The sequence below is a fragment of the Homo sapiens genome, chromosome 13 (genome assembly GCF_000001405.40).
Source record: "Homo sapiens chromosome 13, GRCh38.p14 Primary Assembly".
Lineage (NCBI taxonomy): Eukaryota > Metazoa > Chordata > Mammalia > Primates > Hominidae > Homo > Homo sapiens.
Window position 1 is genome coordinate 112,127,919 of NC_000013.11, and position 24,358 is coordinate 112,152,276.

At 50.0% G+C, this 24,358-nt stretch overlaps 1 annotated feature.

Annotated features, from left to right (window-relative positions):
• Positions 22,967–23,542: an enhancer, noted in NCBI's record as "H3K27ac-H3K4me1 hESC enhancer chr13:112805199-112805774 (GRCh37/hg19 assembly coordinates)". NCBI's record gives its function as "activates a minimal SCP1, AML or CMV promoter by ChIP-STARR-seq in naive H9 embryonic stem cells {active_cell/tissue: H9 hESC(naive)}" and the evidence as "EXISTENCE:reporter gene assay evidence [ECO:0000049][PMID:30033119]".

Below are 24,358 nucleotides of genomic sequence, written 5' to 3' on the forward strand. Positions count from 1 at the left end.
GCTGCAAAGTTTGTTCTGAGCGTGGGTGTATGGTGCTGACAGGAAGATTGGTGTTCTGGGATGTGGGTCTCCATGGTCATCCTTGGAGCTGGACTCTTTATTGGCTCTAGTAGAACCCCAGCTGGCCACAGCAGCTCTCTCTTTTCTCCTCTCCCAGTAAGGCCTTCTGATTCTTCTGCTCTCTCTCTGTCATCAGTAGGAGATCACAGCGCTCAGAAGCAGCCACACCACCTGTTCTCTGGTCCCAGGCTGGCCTGCCCTCCTCGTCTTGTTGGTTTCCCAGCGATTTGTCCCTGCAGAAGCACAGGGAGCATCACCCACATGCCCACCCTTCGCCGTGCCCCTTGTGAGCACGTCTGCGTGGGGGCCCCTACCTCGCCGTTCTCCTGGGAAGTGTCCTCCAGTGTTGGGTGTGTTCCCTGAGATGCACTTCGGGAAGCTGTGACGCTGAGAGTGTCTCTGGTGTGTGTTGTGTTGACAGAGGACTGAGGGATGAGGGCACCCCCGGATTGCTGGCCAGCGGGCTCCTTCTCCGAGTGCAGTCCTGGAAGGAGGGGCCTCCGACACTCCAGCCTTGCCCCGGGCAACAGGACATGGAGCTGGGACTCTTCACACAGCAAGGAGCCTCTCCATCCATGTATTCCTTCCCTGTTTTTCTCCAGGAGCCTCAACGGTAAATCCTCTTACTGCCCATGGGGATGTGGTCCTCTAATTAATCGCTGTGCTAAGCCAGACCTTGAAGTCTTCAGCTGAGATCGAGATGAAGAGGGGCTCTGCCCGGAAGCTCTTGTTTGCCTCCACACATAGTCAAGCCGCCCTCAGAGCTGGGCCCCCAGCTTCCCCTTCATGCTTTCCTTCTGCGTTCCTGCCTTTCCGTCTTTTCTTCTTTGCTCTTTCCTTCTTCCCTCCTTTCTTCCTTTTCCCCGCCTCTTTTCCTTTTCTCCAAAGCTTTCCTTTCTCCCATTGCTTTGTCACAAAGCTGCCTAATACAGATTATTTTAGTGTAGTTACTCTTTGGCTTTTTCTTTTAAATAACATATTTTACAAGTCCTAAAAGCACACTTTAAAAAACCAAATAGGATATAGAGAGTGATGTTAGCAACATGGCAGAATCGGAGATATGGAGAAAAGGGAGTGTGAATTGGCGTACCCATTATGGAAAACAGTACGGAGGCCCCTCAAAATATCAAAAACTGAAGTCCCACAGGATCCAGTAACCCCACTTCTGGGTCTACATCCAAAGGTATTGAAATCACATACTGAATTCAATACCATGTTAACTACAGCACTGATCACAATAGCCAACATACAGATCAACCTAAATGTTCATCAGTAGATGAATGGATAAAGAAAGCAGGCAGGCTGGGCACGGCGGCTCACACCTGGAATCCCAGCACAGTGGGAGGCCGAGGCAGGCAGATCACGAGGTCAGGAGATCGAGACCATCCTGGCTAACATGGCAAAACCCCATCTCTACTAAAAATACAAAAAATTAGCTGGGCGTGGTGGCACGCACCTGTAGTCCCAGCTACTCAAGAGGCTGAGGCAGAAGAATTGCTTGAACACGGGAGGTGGAGGTTGCAGTAAGCCAAGATCCCGTCATTGCACTCCAGCCTGGGAGACAGAGTGAGACCCCATCTCAAAAAAAAAAAAAAAAAGAAAGCATGGTACATCTACACAATGGAATTGTGTTCAGTCACAGAAAAGAAGTAAAGCCTATCATCTGTGACAACGTGGATAAACACGGAGGACATTATACCAAGTAACAAGCCAGGCAGAGAAAGGCAAACACTGCATGATCTCACTCCTACGTGGAGTCTGAAATTTCATACTTTCAGATGCAGAGAATGTAACGGCGGTCCCAGGGGCTGAGTGGGCGAGGGAAGGAGAAACGTTGGTCAGAAGATGCAAAGTTTCAGCTAGACAAGAGGAAGGAGCTCTGCTGGTCTACTGCACAGTGAGGTCACTATAGTTAATAACGATGCATTGTTCACTTCAAAATTGCTAAACAAGTGGATTTTAAATGTTCTCACAAAGGACGATGAGTATGTGAGGTAGTGGATATGCTAATTAGCCTGATTTGCCCATTTCACGATAGATCCACGCATTGAAGCATCACATTGCACTCCAGAAATACAGGCAATTATTATTTGCCGATTAAAAAAAAACTAAACAAAGAATGCCCTGAATACATATACAAGTCACAGTGCACTTATTTTATCTGGGAAGGGAGTGAATGAGGTGTTAAGCTACAGGTAAGGGCTTTTGGGAATAAGGCGTTAATGATGGCTATTAGCCAACAGAAAACTACACAGCAGGAGGATGTTGGCGTGGCAGGAGCACAGTGATGAACACCAAACAAAATAATTATCGTGTATTTCAGCATGGCTAGAAAAGAGACTTGAAATGTTCCCAACACAAAGAAATGATGAATGAGGATGGATACCCTGAACGCCCTGATGTGGTCATTGCACATCGCCTGCATGTATCAGAATATCACAGGTACTCCGTAAATGTGAACCATCATTATGTATCCATAAAAAAGAGATGGAAACAAGGTAAGTAACATTTAGAAACCAAGTAAAAAGTACCAACGCGTTCCGGTTCCTGTGGTACAAAGACTCATCAGAAATTCCTGGACGGTGCTAACTAAAATAGTTAGTTTCAGTTAAATTGTTCGGTTAATTAGAAAGCTGATTGCAATTTGGGCTGAGATAAAAGCTCCTTTAACAGCCATTCCTTTCCCTTGGCTCATCCTCCTATCAGAGGAACTAAATTAATTAGGCTCCTGGAACTTGGACTTCTAGAAATTCACAAAGAAGTATTGATGAGTGAGCACTGAAGCTTTGCAGAAAGAGGGTTCAGAAGAGGGGGCGTGAATCTTCTCTGCTGAGTTCCAGTGACCCCAGATCTGACCACTGTTTCTTCAACGTGCATTTTCAAAGTCTGCATTGGCCAGTTAGGTCAATATTGGCGTAAAAACCAGTTTCTGCGGTGCACCGCCAACGACGTTAACTGTCACGCTTGTGTCTCCGTAGCAGCTGAATGCTCGAAGTTCATAATAATGAACCGGGAGCGCTCACAATCACAGGGAATCTTTCCAACAACCCAGGTTAAATAGCACTCAGTGGAGCTTTATTGTCAAGCACAGGGCCCGGGTTCTCTGGGCACTGGCCGCCTCCATGCTGCGTTTCCCCGCTGGGCCAGCGGTGTCATCTTCACCCATCACCAAGGCCAGAGGCCTGGGAGTTGGTTCGAGCTCTCCTTTTCTCTCACCCCTGCTCCAAACATCCCCACGTTCATCTGATTTTCTCTCCCACTGCTGCTGCTCTGGCTCTGAGGCTGCCGTCCCACGGTATCGCCTCCCCAGAGGATCCCACGGGGTCCCCCAGCCACGGGGTCCATCATGGACCGTGGCCTCCTCGCCTCCGCTCTTGTCTGTGTACTGTCTGTTCTCCCCCAGTCTCAGAGATCACATTTGAAACCATCATTCTGATCACAAGACTCCCTCGCTGGAAACTCCTCTGCAGCTCCCTTCACAGAAGGAAATCAAATCCCGCCGTAGCCTCCAGGGCCTGCCTGGGACAGGCTCCAGCCCACAGCGATTCTGGGCAGGTCCTGGGGCTGTGCACGGCCTGCAGGCCCCGAGCAGAGCTTCTGACTTGCCCTTGCTTCAGCCTGGGAGGCTTTTCCCGACTCTTCCCAGGACTAGAACTCAGCTTCCAGGCCACCTCTCCCCGAAGCTTTCTCTGGCCACCTAGTCCGGAGCCCTCGGTGTTCTCAGCCGTAGCACCCTGCTTTGCTCTTGCAGGCTGAGCCTCTCTGTTGCAGCCCTTGAAGGCTGAGCCCTGGGTGTGGGGCCGCCTCGGGCACTCAGCATGGGAATCTAGCACCTGGCACCGCGCCTGGCACTCCCCGGGAGCTGGGAATGGTTCACGGTTGAAAAGTAAAACACATTGTCTTAAGAAGCAGACAGACCCTCTCTGTCTGTGAGACCACATAGGGGGGTCCGACTGTGGTTGGGGTCTGTGCTGATTGTTTGGCCGTGGGGGGTTGTCCTGTGCTCAGGGAGACAGGAAGACCCACAGGTGTCCGGCAGCTCTCACGCAGGGAGGTGAGGAGGGAGATTCCCCAACACTTAACCTCAAGCAAAGTGCAGGGCTTGACATGACAGCGAACCCAAGCAGTGAGGAGCGGGCAGGGATAGAGCCTGGTGCGGAGGAAGCCGAGGATGGGCAGGAGCAGCCCACAGAGCACCCGGCGAACGGAGGCATGTGCCCAGCGTGGATGACTCCAAGAGCAACAGCACTCCCTCGGGAATGAATCTGCAGAGTGGAACAGCTTTTCCCTCCTCCTTCCTTGTTTTTAAAAAAATGTTCCGCCATGCTACTTGTGGAAGCATGAAGTGGAGGGGCAGGAAGCCGCCTGCCCACCATGGAGCAACGGCGGCTGCCGAGGAAGGCGGAGTCTGAGCCGGGCACATCCCTGCCCGGCCGCAGATATACACGGAGGTTCTGAACAGTAGGACTGCACTGTCTTCCGGGCTGAATGACTCCAAATAACATCTGCCCAGACAGTTTGAAAAGCAGGTTGGTGTTGTATTTGGATATCTATGTTAAAGACTGCCACTTAAAAGTTGCCTTTACACATATAGTTCATGATATATACCTGGAATAAGTTAGAAGCTAAAAGCAACACACATAACAGTTAGGTTCTCACCAAACTTAACTCTCTTGGATTCTCAGGAATATTACCACTAAAGAAAGGCTTATACCGACTGAGTTAAAAATCTCCAAGCAGCAGCTCCAGAAGGGAGCATGACGCCCAAGCCCCTCCAGTGCTGGGCCAACACTCCACGCAGGCACCCAAAGCTCAGGTGACCCACCAAGCACGTTCAGCACCCATCGCCCCACTGCACAGAGCTGGCGCCATCCAGGAAGTCTTTTCCCTCGAGAGCCACAGCAGAGGGTCAGACATTCATCTTCCACCACTAAACCATCAGCTACACCAAACCCTGTGTTCACACCGCAAAGAGAATTGCCATCCCCTGTGTGTCTGCTCTGCATCCTCAATAGATACGCCCAGTGGTGTCTATTCTAACCCACATGCAGGCTGGTTCCATGAGCAGGTGAATCGCCCTGACCATTTAAATGGTTCAAAGAGCACCTGAGGAAGTGTCCTTCGTGGGTGGACGTCAGGAAGCAGGGCCGTCTTCCTGCCACCGCAGCTGCAGTGGAGATGACCACAATGAAGCAACATCTCGACAACCTCAAGCTCACAGTGTCTCCTTGAAGATTCCAATTTGCATGCTGGGTGGTAGGATTCACTGTCTATACCCATCCCCTTCCACAGATTATGATCCCAGCTTGTGCACAGCCCAAGTCAAGCCAAGAAGTTAATACAGAATAAATGTGCAGTATCTTTTGATTACGGGGCAAATACATGTCTGTGACCCTACATCATGTGGCACATACACCTGGAGGTGACTGATAAGTGTTTCTCATGTGATAAATAAAGCTTGAATTTCTCCAGGTAGAGCTGGATGAGTAGAGGAAGCCTCCGGATGGCATTCCCATTTTCATTTTGTAAAGCAGAGAATTGCACTGAACTCTAATGCCTTAGTGCTGTGACGTTACACAGAATACGTTCCTTTGTCCATCATGCATTATATTGCTTCTGTATCACAAAATATCCTCCCAGCTACCTCCTCAAATACACAGAAGCCACTTGCATGAGTACATACACAAAGAGGGTAAAACAGTGCCACTCACGGACTAACGCGGCCACACGGAAGATACTGCAGCAGGCTTGCCTTTGTCTTAGAACCAAGAGTGTGGGGCAGTCATGACCCACAAGGAGGACATTTTTTGGCAGTCAGCAAGTGACCAAGGAAGTTTAAGACCCTGGAGTGAAATCAAAAGCCCTTAAGAAAGAAAAACTTAAATGAAAATGGCCAGTTGTTCATTAATCACCAGGAGTTGTCTGACCCAGGGCGGGGGCAGTCTTATTGCTATTATAAACCATACAAATGTAAAGAAGAAAGTAATTGCCTCCTTTATAGACTGAAAAGTTAAATGTGGAGCTGCTGGTTACCGTGGACACGCTGGACTGTTTACAGCCCCGGTGTAAACAGTGGCCAGAGAGAAAGCAGCATTTCCTTCCTAATGACATTCATTAGGGTCACTTTTTTTTAGCGGGTCCTTTCTCTGAAAATGAATCCCCACTGATTATACACACGCCTTCACAGATAAAATCACATCGAAGAGAGCGGTGCGAGTGTGTGCCGGGAACCAGCCACGTGTCCATCTGATTCTGCCGTGGAACTTTCTCCGCCAGAGGTGGCAGCGAACTAACACACCCTGTCCCTTGTCCACCGAGAGAGAGACATGGATGCGCAGAGCTGTGAGCGGTCGGACCTCTGTCCCATGAGGAAGCCCGGATGACCTCTGCGTTCTGGAAACTGCTTCTGCTTTAGTCATTTCATCGGCTGACCTGTTACAGGGCTTCTGTCTGGATGCAGGGGAGGCATGGCAGGGGCCTGTGGAGGAGCCCAGGAGGGAAATGGGGCCCGACTGGAGGGTGGTGGAGCGTCATGGTGCCTCTTTCATCAGGCCTTTAGGAAACACAGGGAAGTCTGCTGCTGTGTATGGACACCATTATGACCCTGACTTACTCTCAAGGACTCACTCCTAGGCTGGAGCTGACCTGGCGTTCCACGGCCACCAGCCCAGGTTCATGAGGCTTCAGCTGCCATCACTAGTGTTTCTCTCCCGCTTCTTCAGTTTCAGAAACGATCATCATCCCCCTTTATCCTGAAAGCCCCAGTCCCTGTTTTCACAGAAATAACAATGTTCCCCTAAAGAAAAGGAACACCAGAGAATTGGATTCAAGATCTAAATGACCTCAGTAACCACACTGTTTCGGATTTCCGGGAATGCCACGTCAGCAAGGAGGGTGGAGGCTGAACACTCACCGCCCCTTAAGCCCTGAGCACAGCTGCGCTATCGGGCCAGCTCTCCTGGAAAACAGTGACATACCCCATCACCACACTCCAGTGTGGCCCACGGCCGGCTCACCCCTCACACTGAACGCCACAGGTGAGGAAGTAGGGGCAGAAGTGAGCGGTGAGAATTTAAAACTCCTGCAGCAATTTGACACAGTAGTGCTATGTATATTGAATCTCACACTTCAAAAGTCTGACTTTTCTTTGATGGATTATTTTTTTTTTGGAGATGGAGGTTTGCTCTGTTGCCCAGGCTGGAGTGCAGTGGCGCAATCTCGGTTCATTTCAGTCTCCACCTCCTGGGTTCAAGCGAGTCTCCTGCCTCAGCCTCCCAAGTAGCTGGGACTACAGGTGCCCGCCACCATGCCCAGCTAATGTCTGTATTTTTAGTAGAGACGGGGTTTCACCATGTTGGCCAGGCTGGTCGCGAACTCCTGACCTCAGGTGATCCACCCAGCTCGACCTCCCAAAGTGCTGGGATTACAGGCATGAGTCACCATGCCTGGCACTTTTATGGATTACTTTTATTTCGCTTTTTTAAAAGTAATTCCTTTTTACTGTATTTTACAAAAGCATCATTCCACGACAGACTGGGAATTAGAAATAAAATGCTAGTCCTTGACCACAGGCTGGTGACCTCATCACAGAGACAGTGCCCACAAATTCTCTGTTAAGATTAAACCACAGTAATAATTAGCCAAGACCTGCTTTCCTAGAGGGTTCAATTTAATGGCTTATTTTTAAATACTTTTTTGGAAACATCTCTAGGTGTTAGGTTTTCTATTCTTTTTTTTTATCACCTGAGAGAGAACCAGGGAAGCCAGCTCAGGTCCCTTCACAAATGGCCTAAAACTCTGTCCTAGGGCCCCTGCCGGGGACGGTCCCAGACACCCACAGCCCCTGGAAGAGTTGATCCTCCCTCCAGAAGCATCCGAGACCCAGCTCTCACTAAGAGCCACCAGGAAGCTGGGCCTCCCCCTGGGCACTGCCAAGCTGTGGTATACGCCATGCTCCATCTCCAGATAGGTCACACCCAAGTTCAGTTATAGGATCTTAGAATATTCCCCACAGAAACAATGTTAAAAAGTGACATTAGGTTCCCAGATAAGCCTACCCAAACCCATTCTACCTGTAACGCAGCCAGCATTGTACAGAAATCACTTAGGGAACGTTCTAAGCCTCTTCTGCTTGACAGTCTCTCTGCATCCCCAGGGCACAGCCTCCTGCCTAGGCCTCTGCCTCTGGGTTCACCCACGCATCCACTCTCCACGCCCTTGGCCACAGTCCGTGGCTCCCCACCTCAAAACCTCCAGGGCACCTGGTCCCCAGACTCGAGCCCAACCTTCTCTCTGGCCCTGCCTCAGTTGGCAACTTCACCAACATACCAGGAGGGAATGTTCTGGAACGGCAGCCTCCCCACCTTTCCCCCTGCTCCTGGATCATTAGGGCTCCTCCTCCCAGGTGTGACCACCTACCCTTCCTCCAGGTCTTGGCTCAAGGGAGTTCTCCTAAGGTGGGTCATGTTGACCCCGGGGCCCTCCTCCGGGTGACATCCTTCTCTACCCAGAATGCTCCTCACTGTGAAGCCCTTCCTGCGGCTCTCAGGTTGGCAGGGGCTGGGTCTACTGTGCCCACTTGCTGTCTCTTTCTTTCTTTTTCTTTCATCTCCCTCCCTCCCTTTTTCCTTTCTTCCTCTCTGTCCTCCCCCAACCCCTTTCCTTCTTCCTTCTCTCCCTCCCTCTCTCCCTTCCTTCTTTCCTCCTTCCTTCCCTCCTTTCTTCCCTCCCTCCCTTCCTTCTTCCCTCCCTCCCTTTCTCTCTCCCTCCCTCTCTCCCTTCTTCCCGCCTCCCTCCCTCCCTCCTTCCCTCCCTCCCTCCCTCCTCCCTTCCCTCAGTCGTCAGGTGGTGCCTGCACATGGGGGATGCCCAGTTTCATGGAACAGAACGGAAAGGAACTGTGACAGGCAGAGTGTCTCTGCAGGAGCTGCGTGGTGACCATGGGTGAGGACAGTGCACATCATGTGAAGGATGGGAGCTGCAACTGGGCGAGGAGAGAGACAGCTTAGAGAATTGTAGTAACCATCCTCAGAGGCTTTAGGTCTCTGACATAGAAACAAGGTGAGTTTGTACAGCTCCAGCATGCTGAGCTAGGATCACTAGGTACAGATTTGGATGCAGTTCTGGCCTGGTTTCAAAGAGAACTTTCTAGCCCAGTTGTCTAGCAGTGGTGGGTCAGCAGGTCTCCCCTAGCAGACGCTGGAGGGCAGAGGGTTCCTCGCAGCTGTGTTGTGTGTTGTGCAGGGAGGTGCTGCCTGGGTGGAAGGTTACACTCCGGGGCGTGGACTCCCATCTCTGAAATTCTGACCTCCTGTGAAATGTGGGAGACCTTTGCTCCATACCCTGAGGTGCTCCCTGCCTTGAAGGTGGCCCCGGGATCTCTCTGGTGGCTCAGCTAGACCTTCTCCCCAAAACAGGAGGGGCCCCTGCAGCCACAGCCATAGTTCAAGGTCTGGAGCCCAGAGCGCATGCCTCCTGGATGGGTGGCTCTTTCTGGAGCCCCCTTGTATGGAATAATGAAGAAAAAGGTAGGATCCTGAGGTGACCACATCACTTTATACTCCCAAATGTCTTTATGTTTTCAGCCTTGAGCTGAAAGTAAAAGTAAGCCTTTTACTTTTTTTGTGGCGATTTCTATTCATATGCACTGTCAAAAATTATTATATCTTCCAATTCAGAGATATTTTAGCATTAACTCACTAAATAAAATGCTTTAAGCCCGGTGCAGTGGTTCAGGCCAGTAATGCCAGCACTTTGGGAGGCCGAGGCGGGTGGATCACCTGAGGTCAGGAGTTTGAGACCAGCCTGGCCAACATGGTGATACCCCATCTCTACTAAAAATACAAAAAATTAGCCGGGTGTGGTGGCACACGCCTATAATCCCAGGTACTTGGGAAGCTGAGGCAGAGAATCACTTGAACTCAAGAGGCAGAGGTAGAAATGAGCTGAGATTGCACCACTGCACCCCAGCCTGGGCAACTGAACAAGACTCTGTCTCAATAAATAAATAAATACAATTTAAGAAATGCTTTGGATATTTATACGTCTTTATTCCTATGAGCACAGTGATCTTTAAAGATACTCACAAACAGGAGTCAATCTAAATGGGCTTTTTGTTTGTCTGTTTTTTCAGTCATCGCTATCATTTCCAAGTGAGGGGTGAAAGGAACCATTGCTCCCTTCTCTGCAGGTTTGAAGGAGAAAATGCAGCGTCGGTTCTGAGGCAGCCGCGTGCAGGGGCGGCTCAGGCCTGTGCCCAGAGTCAGGCTGAGTGGGCTGGGGGCAGATATGCTGCCTAAACAAAGACACTGGAGTTTGTGGAATTGTTTTTTTATTGGAATCAAGAACAAAGTACCAATAATAATTGCATAGTTAATTTTGCTTCAAATTCTTTTTTTCTTAATAGAGCCCATGACACAAAGAGAAGTCTCAAAATGCTTCCCGTTCTGTTTTGCTTTGTTGCAGCAGTATTTGCCAAAGATCCAGGCTACACATTGTTTTATTTCAGCGAAACAATCAGGAATGAAATGGTTGCGGAGGCTCCTTCTCTGGGCACGGTTTTTCAGAGATGGAAACCCAGGCCCAGAGAACTGAAGGAATTTTCCCTCCACCCAGGCAAGAGTTTGGCAAATTGTCAGACTTCCAGAGGAAACAGTTTCTTCTAAAGGTGGATGCGAGTAAGTACAGGTAAATGACTGAGGAACGAATGTAAAAATGAATACATTTTAAAAGCAACTCATGGTGGTTAATAACAAGAACATTTCATTTTAAGATAATGAGTGATCTGACATCCAAGGATGACCACTGCTGTCCTCCCACAGCCTGAATAGCGTGGGCAGCTGCACCACGGGTGTGCATGGCTGCATATGTGCCCAGTGACTACATACAACCTACAGACGTAAATGCACATAGAGTCCTGTTTGCCAAACTCACCGTAATTTATGTAATTATACACATAATGTATTTTACCCAATACACAAAGAAGATTTTCATAATGCCACTTAGGGTCTAGATTTAACTTAAACCACTACTTAGTCTATCTCTCTTAATAGGATACTAAAAGGAAATTTTATGACAACATTATCAGTAGCATTTTGCTGATAATTAGAATAACAATAATAATACTGAGATATTTTTTCAGTAATAATGGTGTTATTAATGAGATTTTTATGAAAGACAGACTTCTTCGGTATAATTATGAAAATTGATCTTTTGCATTTTACTTATTCACTGAAATCAGATAAGTGGCTTAACTACATGTATTATTTCTAATAAATATTCAAAAGAATGCATTTAAACAAGGCTCCTTATTCTATTCTTGCTCATATTCCTTGCATTTAAATAAAAGTGTAATTGCTCTGCTTTTTAAACTGTTAGTTTGGATTAGCTGTCTAACCTGTACAGTGTAGCTGTTTGCTGTTTGCATTTTTAATAGCTTTATTACCATTTGGTGAAGCCTTAATTTCTGACTCCCTTGAAGAGTCCTGCCTTTAAGTCAGCACTACAATTTAACCAGCAATAATCTGTCAAGATGAGATAAAGACCCACACCAGATGAAATGCAGTATTTTTGTGTAGCATTCTGTCATTGTTAAAGGCAAGATCCTAGTATGTCAAAATGTAACCTCTGAAAGTTTTCTAAACTTTGCAGCATAATTTTACAGTTCATGTTTTTAATCCATGGCTCCAGCACACATTATCTTGTTCACTGGGGAAAGCAATTAAAATATACATCTAGTTATCTGTGAAAATATATATTTAAGGGCATTAGCAGGAATATGCACTTATGCGTGCGTTAATGAGCGTGTGCATGGGTAAACACTGCAAAGAGGAGCAGAAGATCTCTAGTGTCTCAGCAAAAGTGATGATTTTATGCTCTAAGAATCTGAGACTATACATACATATATACCTTTTATTTTTTAAAATTATGTAAAACATATAAAAATGGGGAGAATAGTACAATGAATCCCTGCATACCCTGTGCAATTCACAGAGGTCCTGTTCAATCCAAACCTCCCACTCCCCTCCCCCAACAAATCCCAAATGTTGCATATTTTCATGTGTAAATATTTAGGCACAGATCTTTAAAAAATATGGAATTTTTTTAAAAGCCACGATTATATACACTGTCACACCTTAAAAAATTAACAATAATTCCTTAACATCATAAAATATCTAGTCAGTTTTTAAATTTCCCAAGCATCTCATTTAATATCATATATCTATGTCATACCTAAATGTATTGTTTGCTTTTTAATTTGTTTGAGCCAAGATGAAAATGAGAGTCCTACAATGGTGACTGGTTGAAAGGTTTTGTGAGCCTTTTCAATCCATAGGTCTCACTGCTGTTTCTTCTTTCTTTCCTTTTTTCTTACAATTTCAGTGTTGAAGGAAACAGTCATAGATATAATGGGCTTCCATGTGCGGGATTTTCCCGGTTGCATTCCAGTGGTTTAATCTAACACGCTCCTCCAAATTTCCCATAAACTGAAATAAGATCTGGGGATTTGAAGAGATTGGGTTTCACGGTGGGGAGAGGTGAGCTCCTTCCTGGGTGGCTGTGTCTGCCGGGAGGCACGTGGGGTCTGCTTATGCCTCTCACTTTGCACTGCCAGTGGCCATCACAGCTCCGTGTCCAGACACATTGATACACTCAGGACAGCACCATGGGCATGTTCTAATTCTATCACTTCTCCACTTATTAGCTGGAACACTTTCATTAACAGAGCATTTGCCTCATATTATATCTGGTTACCCAGTTGTGTAGTTTATATGGGAAAGATGACATAAATATTTAATACCTTTCCTTTATGAGTTTTCAAAATAATGAATTATTCATTAGCATTCTCCAATGGTACCAATTAATTTTTTTTTTTTTAGTTTCATGAAGAACTTATGGATTTGAGCATATGTGTTGGGTCTCAATCCATTGCAGTTGTTACACTTTGATGATCAAGCGTCCCATCTTTGGCCATTGGAAGCTTCCTTCCACTGGCTCTGTCACCATGTGCGGGGACAGAACATCCCAGGCTCACCTTGTATTACTCCAGGCTGGGATCAGCTGTTTCCCCAGAGAGCTTTGCTTCCTCTTAGTGAGAAATGAGACCACAGTCTTGGCCCTGAGATTTACATACATACATACATATATGCACATCCATCCATGCACACACACACACACACACACACACACACACACACACACACAGGTATATAGTTACCTTGCTATCTATCTTTGGCCTTTCCTCAATATCTATCATGTTAATATTAAAAGCTACCACAAAGCAGCATCCATAAATTGTCCCTTAATGTTTATTCTAGCATCTGAGTGATTTCTTCATAATCCGTGAAACAGACGCTATGGTGAACGGGATTGGGTTGTTAGAAGACGAAACTGTGGAATCTGATGCTATCACAGGCTTGTCTACTCTGAAGGCGTAGTCAGCTTCGGTGACATGAGGCCTCCCAGTGCCTTTTCAAAGGGTTAATGGTACCTGACTTCAGGGCTCCACTTGCCTTTCTTCTCTAAGTGTGTGGGATTCTGTTATACCTCAACCAATTGGTCTAGGGGACAAAGATTTTCATGCCAGGTGAACAGAGTCCCCAGAAAGGAAAGTACAACAGGGTGGCCAAGCCCTGTCCAGGAAGGGAATATTTCAGGCTTTCATCTGCCACTTCTGGGACGAGGACCAGTGGGTGGAAAGAAGAGAAAGCAAACTGTGGAGCCACCCACGCCACGCCCGCTGTCCTGTGGCTCCCAGCCCTGTGCCCCAGCACACTCTGATCTCATGGCTCAGGCACAGAAAGTCCTCTGATAACCTTGGTGCTGTTTGAGGCAAAGCATCTTCTTCATGCATTCAATGCTCTCTAAGCCACGGTCCTCACCCAGCCTCCCAGCCACAGTCCACACCCAACCTCCCAGCCTCCCAGCCACAGTCCACACCCAACCTCCCAGCCTCCCAGCCACAGTCCACACGCAGCCTCACAGCCACAGTCCCCACCCAACCTCCCAGCCACGGCTCCCCTGGGCCTCCTAGCCATGGTCCCCACCCAGCCACCCAGCCTCCAAGCCACAGTCCCCACCCAGCCTCACAGCCACCCAGCCTCCAAGCCACAGTCCCCACCCAGCCTCACAGCCACCCAGCCTCCAAGCCATAGTCCCCATCCAGCCTCGCAGCCTCCAAGCCATGGTCCCCACCCAGCTTCCTAGCCTCCAAGCCACAGTCTCCACTCAGACTCACAGCCTCCAAGCCATGTTCCCACCCAGTCTCGCAGCCTCCAAGCCATGTTCCCACCCAGTCTCGCAGCCTCCAAGCCACAGTCCCCACCCAGGCTCCCAGCCTCCCTCTCACAGATGTTCTTTGTCTACTTCATTCTCCATGCAGGGGACCCCCAAGCCCCTGCCAGACAGCCCAGCTGTTCACGCTCCTACCTCTGAGCAGAACATACTTCCCAGGTTTCCCGGTCTACACCCACCCATGTCCTTTCCAAGCCCTTCCCTGAAAATCAGAAGTGGACCATGCCTTCCGTCCAGTCCTCATGGCCCAGGTCGACGGTGATAGACTCCACTTTTCACCGTGGGAATTGGCTGGTGCCTGATTTCTGCTGCTGGGTCATAAACGCTTCCCCTTGGGGGTCACTGTTTCATCCTCCACCATCATGGCCCTGCGCAGGCCGTCGAAATGCACGGTTGAAGGAATGGGTTGAGATTCCGGAAAGGGGAGTCCCGGGGCTTCTCCTTAGCCCTGGGGAGGACAGAGCTGTGCCCAGTGCTGACAGAGGCCCTCGTGGGGCTTTTCTCTGGCCTTTTTGGGGTGACAAAGAGACTTGCATTTTAACTCAGTATAATCAAGAGCATCACCCTGGGCAGGAGCAGTAGCCATTCTGAGTCTCTGAACATATCCATATGTAACAGTAAAAACCCAGCCAACAAACCCCAGACTTGCCATTCAAATCAAGCCAGGTAAGGAGACAGGGATGCTCGGCGAGCTGTGGCATTACCACTGGGCAGCTGTGGCGACGGTGTCATGATGACACATTTAGGGTGTGTCCTGCGCCCCTCATGGGGGGATCAGGAGGAACCACTTTACTCCTCCTAGAGAGGAGGTTGTTCAGGTGCAGGGTTGGGGCAGGACACAGAGCAGGGGCTCCTGCCATCATGGTGGCCATCATTCATCCCAACAGGGTCATTACGGGCACCAGCTCGTGGGGAAGTGGGCCTGCTGGCCTCAGGGCTGGTACATGGGGACCCCTCCTCACTCATCTGCACCCACAGGGGAGGAGGGGAGCACTAGCTGGGGTACTGGCTGACCCCGCAGAAGCAGGTGTTTCCAGGGGGCCTAGAGGTGACCCAGACTGCTGGGAGAGAGGGAGGGAGAGCTGCTGGCAGAGGAGGAAACCCCCCTCCAGGTCCAGGGCATCTGGCTCTCTCCGGTAGCCCCTGAGGGAGGCACACACCTTGCGGGGTCAGCTGATGGGGAACTGGAAGTGGATGAAGAAAATACAAACATGGAGATGAGGACGATTGGGTCGGAGCCACAGAGACGCCGGCATAACCTGCCCTAAGTGGCCCTGGCTCGTGGCCTCACTTAGTGAGGAATGAGGGCAAGTTATGCCCCTCGAGGGCAAAAGGCCTGCACTGCACCCCTGAGCCGGAGCAGGCCAGGCCCCACTTAGGTTCATTGCCACATCCCTGCCTATGGTCCATTCAACGAGCCGGCTGGGACACAGAGAGTGGTGGGTTTCCCTGTGCTCAGAGAGTCCTTCAACATCCCGGTGGCAGGCGGGGAAGCAGGTCCCACAGTCAGCCCTAGCCGGCAGGGATGGCGGGCAGGAGTCCTGAGTGTCCCCCACACCCAAGCATCACCAGGGTCTGTGAGTACATGGGGCCTCCCTAAGGCGCTCTCACCAAAACTGTCTCATTCAAAGCTCAGGACACTGCAGGGAGGTGGCTGTGGCCCTGGGGATGGGATGTGAGGAGGTGAGGACTGTGGTTCCACTTTGCTGATGGGAAAACGAGACACAGAGCATCAGAACACTGGCCACAGTGCAAATCCACAGCCTCCACTCACATAGTGCAAGTCCCCAGCCGCCCCTGCCCCCCATGCGGGCCTACAGCCGAGGGAAAAGGCTAGGAAAGTGGCTGCCGCAACCCCAGGCTGTCCCAGCCCTCCTCGTCAGGCTGCCTTGGGTTCTGGGCTGCCTCAGCCATCAGCTTCACATTATTGGGTAACCAATAATCACCCGGATGTGGGCTCCACAGGACTCAGCAGACAGTGAGTCTCGGACCTGCACATTATCTCTACCGTCCTGGGAGATTTAGGCTAAATTTTGGTATATTCAGTGGGCTTTGCTCTCCTTCATGTCTGCTTCAGCCAGCTGGCACGCATCTGGGTTTTAATTAATCAGTAGCCTCTGAAATGATAAAATACGACCTTCATAGAAGTAACCTGCAGAAACAGAGATCAGAACATTGCCTGGAGTCAGTTCTTACAAAGCAAAGGTGGTTGCAAGATGAGGCATTTGTGAATCATTCCTGTCTGCTCTTCCGGAATCCTATGCTGCTTAAGAAAACACATGGCATTTACAAATCAGTCTCTCAAGAATCAGTCTTCAAGGCCCAGCACCCCTGCTCCTGAGGAGGCCAAACACCTCCAGAGCTAGGAACATGGGCTCCAGGACCAAGTTCTGCTGCTTCTGCTGGTTACAGGAATGGGCAAATTGCTTGACCCCCTGCCTGGATCTGGACCAGGTGCCAACGCTCACGCCTGCAAAAGGATTGAGATGCTACATATTAAACAGCAGGAACCACATCTGACATACGGCAAGTGCTCACTAAATGTCAGCTCACATCTCAAGGTGTGGCTGCAGCATTTCAACAAGTGTGTCCTGAGCATCAAAACAGGTAGCCCAGCAAAAGACCAGATGACTTTCCGACACAACCAGTGGTTTCGCTCAAGAGCAAAGGAGGCTTCTGTCTCTTCCCGCAAAGGCAGAGTCAACGTGGTAGTTCCGGAAGATGGACGCACATGAGTATGTGAGCCTGGTGTGATTCATGCCAGGGGATTGTGGGTCCACTGTGTGCCCATTTAGGACCCAGGAAACCTGCCAAAGATGTGGGGAAGGAAAGACTTGTGCACCATTGAATTACTAGTTTTTGAATCACATGGTGGAAAAAAAGAAAAAAACAAAAACATTAGCAAGTTTTTCAAGCAATAACAACGGTGCAAGTGCCGGGGTCTGAGCAGGCCTGGAGGTTACAGGGATTTCTCGGGGACCTCCCTCCCAGCATAATGACAGCAGGTTCAGAGGAACCAGATCTGCACTGTTGTAAAACCTGACACAATAAACTTGACAGACAGCCAGATTTCTGTTTTCAGCCAGTTTAGGGTTACTCTAATCTCATTATAATGCTTGAAAGATGACAAGTAATAGAATCTCAGGTAACCGCTCTGGCGCTACTCGGCCACATCCTCCTTGGTGCTGACTTCCTTGATTACCTGGCCACTGAGGCTCAGTTTTCAACTCCTTCTCCTGCAGAAATAATCATCTGATCAGCTGACAAGGTTCTCCCTGGAGCCCACAGTTTTAATGGGTCAAGCATCGCATTAACCCTTTCGCCCCGTCCCCCGAGCATACCACACTTATTAAAAAGAAATTTACTTTTCAATCATTGTTAGCGTGGTGATGGAGCAGGAGCTGCTGAGCAGGCCGCCCCGGCTCTCTTCCTCAGCGTCTAGGCTTTTAGAATTGTTCTATGTCCTTTCAGCCAACACAAAGGCAGGCGTTCAAAGCCAGGCCTCTTAAAAGTGTTCTTTCGGTTGCTTTCATAACCTGGAAGACGATGGCACCAAATACTTGTGGGTATTTTATATTCTGTTCAAAGACAATAGAGTGAAGTTTGACAAAAGCTAGATGAATTATGAATTGCACGTTATGGAAAAACCCGTCTATTAGAAATGTGACTCATTTCCAATGAAACGAGTGCCTTTTCCAGGGAAAAAGATTTCCTGGGAAGCGTGGCTTTCACAGCTTTCCTTGCAGCGCCGTCACAGTTGGTGCTGCCTGAAAGGTCTGACGTTGAAACCAAAGCCAGGGCTGTGGACAGCCAGACCCCCGGGATGCTTCTCACAGGAGCGCCACCTTGATTTGAATGGGAGGTGAGCTGAGTGCTGGAGCTGTTGTCTGTGCTCACCACCGTCCACTTGTCTCTGAGAACACAGAGGGCTTTGGCTGGGCTCAAGGATGCTGCGCATGAGCTTGGACTTGATTCGAGATCACTTTTACTTTACCCCAAGGCTACAAGTAAGCCCTGCAGAGGATAAACGTGAGACAAGCATGCCCGTGGGCAGAGTAGCTCTGCGTGGCTCCTCTATGTCTTCCGGTGATGCACACCACGTCTGGGGCCTGGCAGCTGAGGTGCAGTGAGATGCCCTCCCTCTAACTCTGAGGATCCCAGAATGGGGGCTCAATGCCTTTTGTACACGTGGCCAGGACACCTTATGCTATTGGATGAGTTTAGAACGCTGCCACTCAGTGAGTCATGCCACCTGGACTTAGACAAATTTCAAGGCTTCCAAATTCCTGCTGTGCCCACAACACGTAGGGTCCCTTTCCCTGCACCTGCACTAAGGGTCCAGGAGTTCTTGGTTTGCACCCACGCTGGGATGTCCTGGGGCAGCCCCAGACGATCCTGTCTGAGCATAAAGACCCAATCATCCTGATGTCCCTAGTTCAGCATCAAAGATCCACGGCACGCCAACAGGGTGAGCTATAAGCAATTGTGAGCAGATGGGTACAAAACAATCCTATTTGAGAATGGTCTACCACTGTGCTATGGACTGAAATATGGTTCCCAAAGTTCACCTGTGGAAGTCCTGACCCCGGTGTGATGGTCCCTCTGGAAGCCCTGACTCCAAGTGTGATGGTTCCTGTGGAAACCCTGACTCCCAGTGTGATGCTATCTATGGAAACCCTGACCCCCGTGTGATGGTATCTGTGGAAGCCCGGACCCCTGTGTGATGGTATCTGTGGAAACCCTGACCCCTGTGTGATGGTATCTGTGGAAACCCTGACCCCTGTGTGATGGTATCCGTGGAAACCCGGACCCCTGTGTGATGGTACCTGTGGAAACCCTGACTCCCAGTGTGATGGTATCTGTGGAAGCCCTGACCCCCATGTGATGGTCCCTGTGGAAGCCCTGACTCCCAGTGTGATAGTATCTGTGGAAACCCTGACCCCTGTGTGATGGTATTTATGGAAGCCCTGACCCCTGTATGATGATATTTGTGGAAGCCCTGACCCCCATGTGATGGTATCTGTGGAAGCCCTGACTCCCAGTGTGATGGTATCTGTGTAAACCCTGACCCCTGTGTGATGGGATCTGTGGAAACCCTGACCCCTGTGTGATGGTACCTGTGGAAACCCGGACCCCTGTGTGATGGTACCTGTGGAAACCCTGACTCCCAGTGTGATGGTATCTATGGAAACCCTGACCCCCATGTGATGGTCCCTGTGGAAGCCCTGACTCCCAGTGTGATGGTATCTGTGTAAACCCTGACCCCTGTGTGATGGGATCTGTGGAAACCCTGACCCCTGTGTGATGGTACCTGTGGAAACCCGGACCCCTGTGTGATGGTACCTGTGGAAACCCTGACTCCCAGTGTGATGGTATCTATGGAAACCCTGACCCCTGTGTGATGGTATGTGTGGAAGCCCTGACCCCTGTTTGATGGTATCTGTGGAAACCCTGACCCCCATGTGATGGTACCTGTGGAAGCTCTGACCCCTGTGTGATGATATTTATGGAAGCCCTGACCCCTGTATGATGATATTTGTGGAAGCCCTGACCCCCATGTGATGGTCCCTGTGGAAGCCCTGACTCCCAGTGTGATGGTATCTATGGAAACCCTGACCCCTGTGTGATGGTCCCTGTGGAAGCCCTGACTCCCAGTGTGATGGTATCTATGGAAACCCTGACCCCTGTGTGATGGTACCTGTGGAAGCCCTGACTCCCAGTGTGATGGTATCTGTGGAAGCTCTGACCCCTGTGTGATGGTATCTGTGGAAACCCTGAATCCCAGTGTGATGGTATCTGTGGAAGCCCTGACCCCTGTGTGATGGTATCTATGGAAACCCTGACCCCTGCGTGATGGTACCTGTGGAAGCCCTGACTCCCAGTGTGATGGTATCTATGGAAACCCTGACCCCTGTGTGATGGTACCTGTGGAAGCCCTGACTCCCAGTGTGATGGTATCTGTGGAAGCTCTGACCCCTGTGTGATGGTATCTGTGGAAACCCTGACTCCCAGTGTGATGGTATCTGTGGAAGCCCTGACCCCTGTGTGATGATATTTATGGAAGCCCTGACCCCTGTATGATGATATTTGTGGAAGCCCTGACCCCCATGTGATGGTCCCTGTGGAAGCCCTGACTCCCAGCGTGATGGTATCTGTGGAAACCCTGACCCCTGTGTGATGGTACCTGTGGAAGCCCTGACTCCCAGTGTGATGGTATCTGTGGAAGCTCTGACCCCTGTGTGATGATATTTATGGAAGCCCTGACCCCTGTATGATGATATTTGTGGAAGCCCTGACCCCCATGTGATGGTCCCTGTGGAAGCCCTGACTCCAAGTGTGATGGTATCTGTGGAAACCCTGACTCCCAGTGTGATGGTATCTATGGAAACCCTGACCCCTGTGTGATGGTACCTGTGGAAGCCCTGACTCCCAGTGTGATGGTATCTATGGAAACCCTGACCCCTGTGTGATGGTATCTGTGGAAACTCTGACCCCTGTGTGATGGTACCTGTGGAAGCTCTGACCCCTGTATGATGATATTTATGGAAGCCCTGACCCGTGTATGATGATATTTGTGGAAGCCCTGACCCCCATGTGATGGTCCCTGTGGAAGCCCTGACCCCTGTGTGATGGTATCTGTGGAAACCCTGACCCCTGTGTGATGGTACCTGTGGAAGCTCTGACCCCGGTGTGATGATATTTATGGAAGCCCTGACCCCTGTATGATGATATTTGTGGAAGCCCTGACCCCCATGTGATGGTCCCTGTGGAAGCCCTGACTCCCAGTGTGATAGTACCTGTGGAAACCCTGACCCTTGTGTGATGGTACCTGTGGAAGCCCTAACTCCCAGTGTGATGGTATCTGTGGAAGCTCTGACCCCTGTGTGATGATATTTATGGAAGCCCTGACCCCTGTATGATGATATTTGTGGAAGCCCTGACCCCCATGTGATGGTCCTTGTGGAAGCCCTGACTCCAAGTGTGATGGTATCTGTGGAAACCCTGACTCCCAGTGTGATGGTATCTGTGGAAACCCTGAACCCTGTGTGATGGTACCTGTGGAAGCCCTGACTCCCAGTGTGATGGTATCTGTGGAAGCTCTGACTCCTGTGTGATGGTATCTGTGGAAACCCTGACTCCTGTGTGATGGTATCTGTGGAAACCCTGACCCCTGTGTGATGGAACCTGTGGAAACCCTGACCCCTGTGTGATGGTATCTGTGGAAACCCTGACCCCTGTGTGATGGTATCTGTGGAAACCCTGACCCCTCTGTGATGGTATCTGTGGAAGCCCTGGCCTCCGGTTTGATGATATCTCTGAAAGCCCTGACCCCCAGTGTGATGGTATCTGGAGATGGGGCCATTGGGAGATAATTAGATTTAGAAGAGGTCATAAGGTGGAATCCTCCTCCTGGGACCAGTGCCCTCTTAAGAAGACACAACAGCTCTCCCTCTCCCCCACCCCACCACCTTCCCCCTGTGAGGACACAATCAGAAAGCAGCTATCTACAAGCCAGGAAGGGAGTCCTCACCAGGAAGTGACCATGCTGGTGCCTGATCCCAGACTTCAGCCTCCAGAACGGTGAGAAATCAGTTCCTGTGGGTTGACCCACACAGTCTATGGTCCTTTGTCATGGCAGCCCCAAGATGACCAACACAACTGGCAACAGACAGCTGGACTGCAAGGATCCACCAGATGCCATGGTTAGACATTGACGTGGAAAGAGAAAAAAAATGTGTTCTGTTTAGGACAACTATTTAGTGTATAGGTCAGCTTCTAAAACAGAAGACAGAGAAATCAGACAGGTTGCTATTGTGGCATATTTTCTGCAGTAGAATATTAATATAAAGACTTAGAAGCCGGCGAGTGCATGCCAAGATGAAGTTATTAATAAGAACAATACTCCACAGCTGTGTGTACTTTTCCTTCGAGAAGAGGTTTACAAAACCAACCTGCAGGAAACAAATATTCATGACTACCACCTGTACTTTCAAGATGAAGAAGAAATCAGCCACAGAGATACTTTTTTTAAGGGAAGATTTTACAAGGTCACACATCAAGGTAATGGAAGAACTAGAAATAGAACAGTGTCAGGCTCCCCCCACCGGCACTGCCGTGTCCATCCCGCCGCTGAGAGGCCGCTCGATGGCACTTAGAGAACAAAATGTGAAGTCCTTCAGCTCCCACATCCGGCTCGGAGTGCTCCTGGGTCTAAAATTCCTTGGAACCACTTGCAAACGTTTTCTACTTCAGGCAATGGTCACATTCACATTCCTTAAGAAGATGGGGATGGAGTCCTTCCTGCCCCACCCCACCCCAACACCCACACACCACACACACGCACGGCAAGCACACACATACACACACACACACGTGCACACACACACGCACACACGCATGCACACGCGCGCACACACACGCACAGCAAGCACACACACGCGCACAGCAAGCACACACACGCGCACACACCCCCACGGCAAGCACACACACCCCCCCACAGCAAGCGCACACACACACCCCCACGGCAAGCACACACACCCCCCGGCAAGCACACACACACACCCCCACGGCAAGCACACACACACCCCCCCCACGGCAAGCACACACACACCCCCCCACGGCAAGCACACACACACCCCCCCACGGCAAGCGCACACACACACACCCACGGCAAGCACACACACACCCCCCCACGGGAAGCACACACACACACCCCCACGGCAAGCACACACACACCCCCCCACGGCAAGCGCACACACACACACACCCACGGCAAGCACACACACACCCCCCCACGGCAAGCGCACACACACACACCCACGGCAAGCGCGCACACACACACCCACGGCAAGCACACACACACACCCACGGCAAGCGCACACACACACACCCACGGCAAGCACACACACACACCCCCACGGCAAGCACACACACACACACCCACGGCAAGCACACTGCCACCTGGGTTTGTCTGGACAGCATCTCTAGGCAGGAGGTGGTGTTAGCACTCCAGTTTACAGAGAAGAGCCAGCCAGGCCTGGAGCAGGTGAAATAATTTGCCCAGTATTTCATGCTCAGGATGATCTATCTGGTCAAGGTAACAAGAAAACAAAACTTTCAAAGCAAACATAAATGCATTTCACCCAAGACTTGAGTGCTGAATCCAGCTATGCTACTGACAGCGACATCTTGAATTTCTGGGTGTTATGACTTCAACTGTGTCTTTCAAAAAGATACACTAAAGTCCTGAGCCACGGCACTAGCATGCTCTTATCAGACAGATGGGAGGCCTAGGGCACAGAAATAGCCATTCTGCAGATCCATTCAGTGTGCAAGTATTAGATGTGTATCTTAAAGAGAAGCATGAAAAAAAAAGACAGTAGCCTTTGCACCAGCCTCAGATTTCTGTCATCATGTGGCTGATAGGAGAGTGACCTCGAACACCCTGCTGGCCTGGAGATCTGGAAGCTGCACACCCACAGAAGCCAACCCCTTCTAAGCGGTGCAGTGAGGGGGGCCTGCCTCAGGCCCACAGCAAGCTGAAGTGGATGCCGAGGATCCGGCAGGACCCCCCGCCCCCTGCCCCACTTAGCTGCACCCTTGCCTCACACCCCTGACCTCTTCTAGACACATGCCTGTTGGGGCCAGAAGAAACCAAGACCGGAAACTCGACGAATAATGGCAATGGATACACCCACCCTGCTGGGGTATAGGAACACATGGCGATCCTGACACTTGTCCCAGCTCTTCCCAAATTGTTTAGACTTCCTTTTAGATATTTTATTGATTATTCCTTGATTCTGAAAGCCGTACACACTTACAAAAACATTCAAGCATTTCACAATTGCATAATGCATAATCGGACAGTTCCCTAATACCTCCCTTCAAAGGTAACTGTAATTACCAGTTCAGTGGAATGCTCTGAGTCAACACTAACCTATTTTCAGTTGTACGCTAAATGAGAAGATAAGGAAGAGGAAAAAATGGAATGCAAAGGATGGTGGGA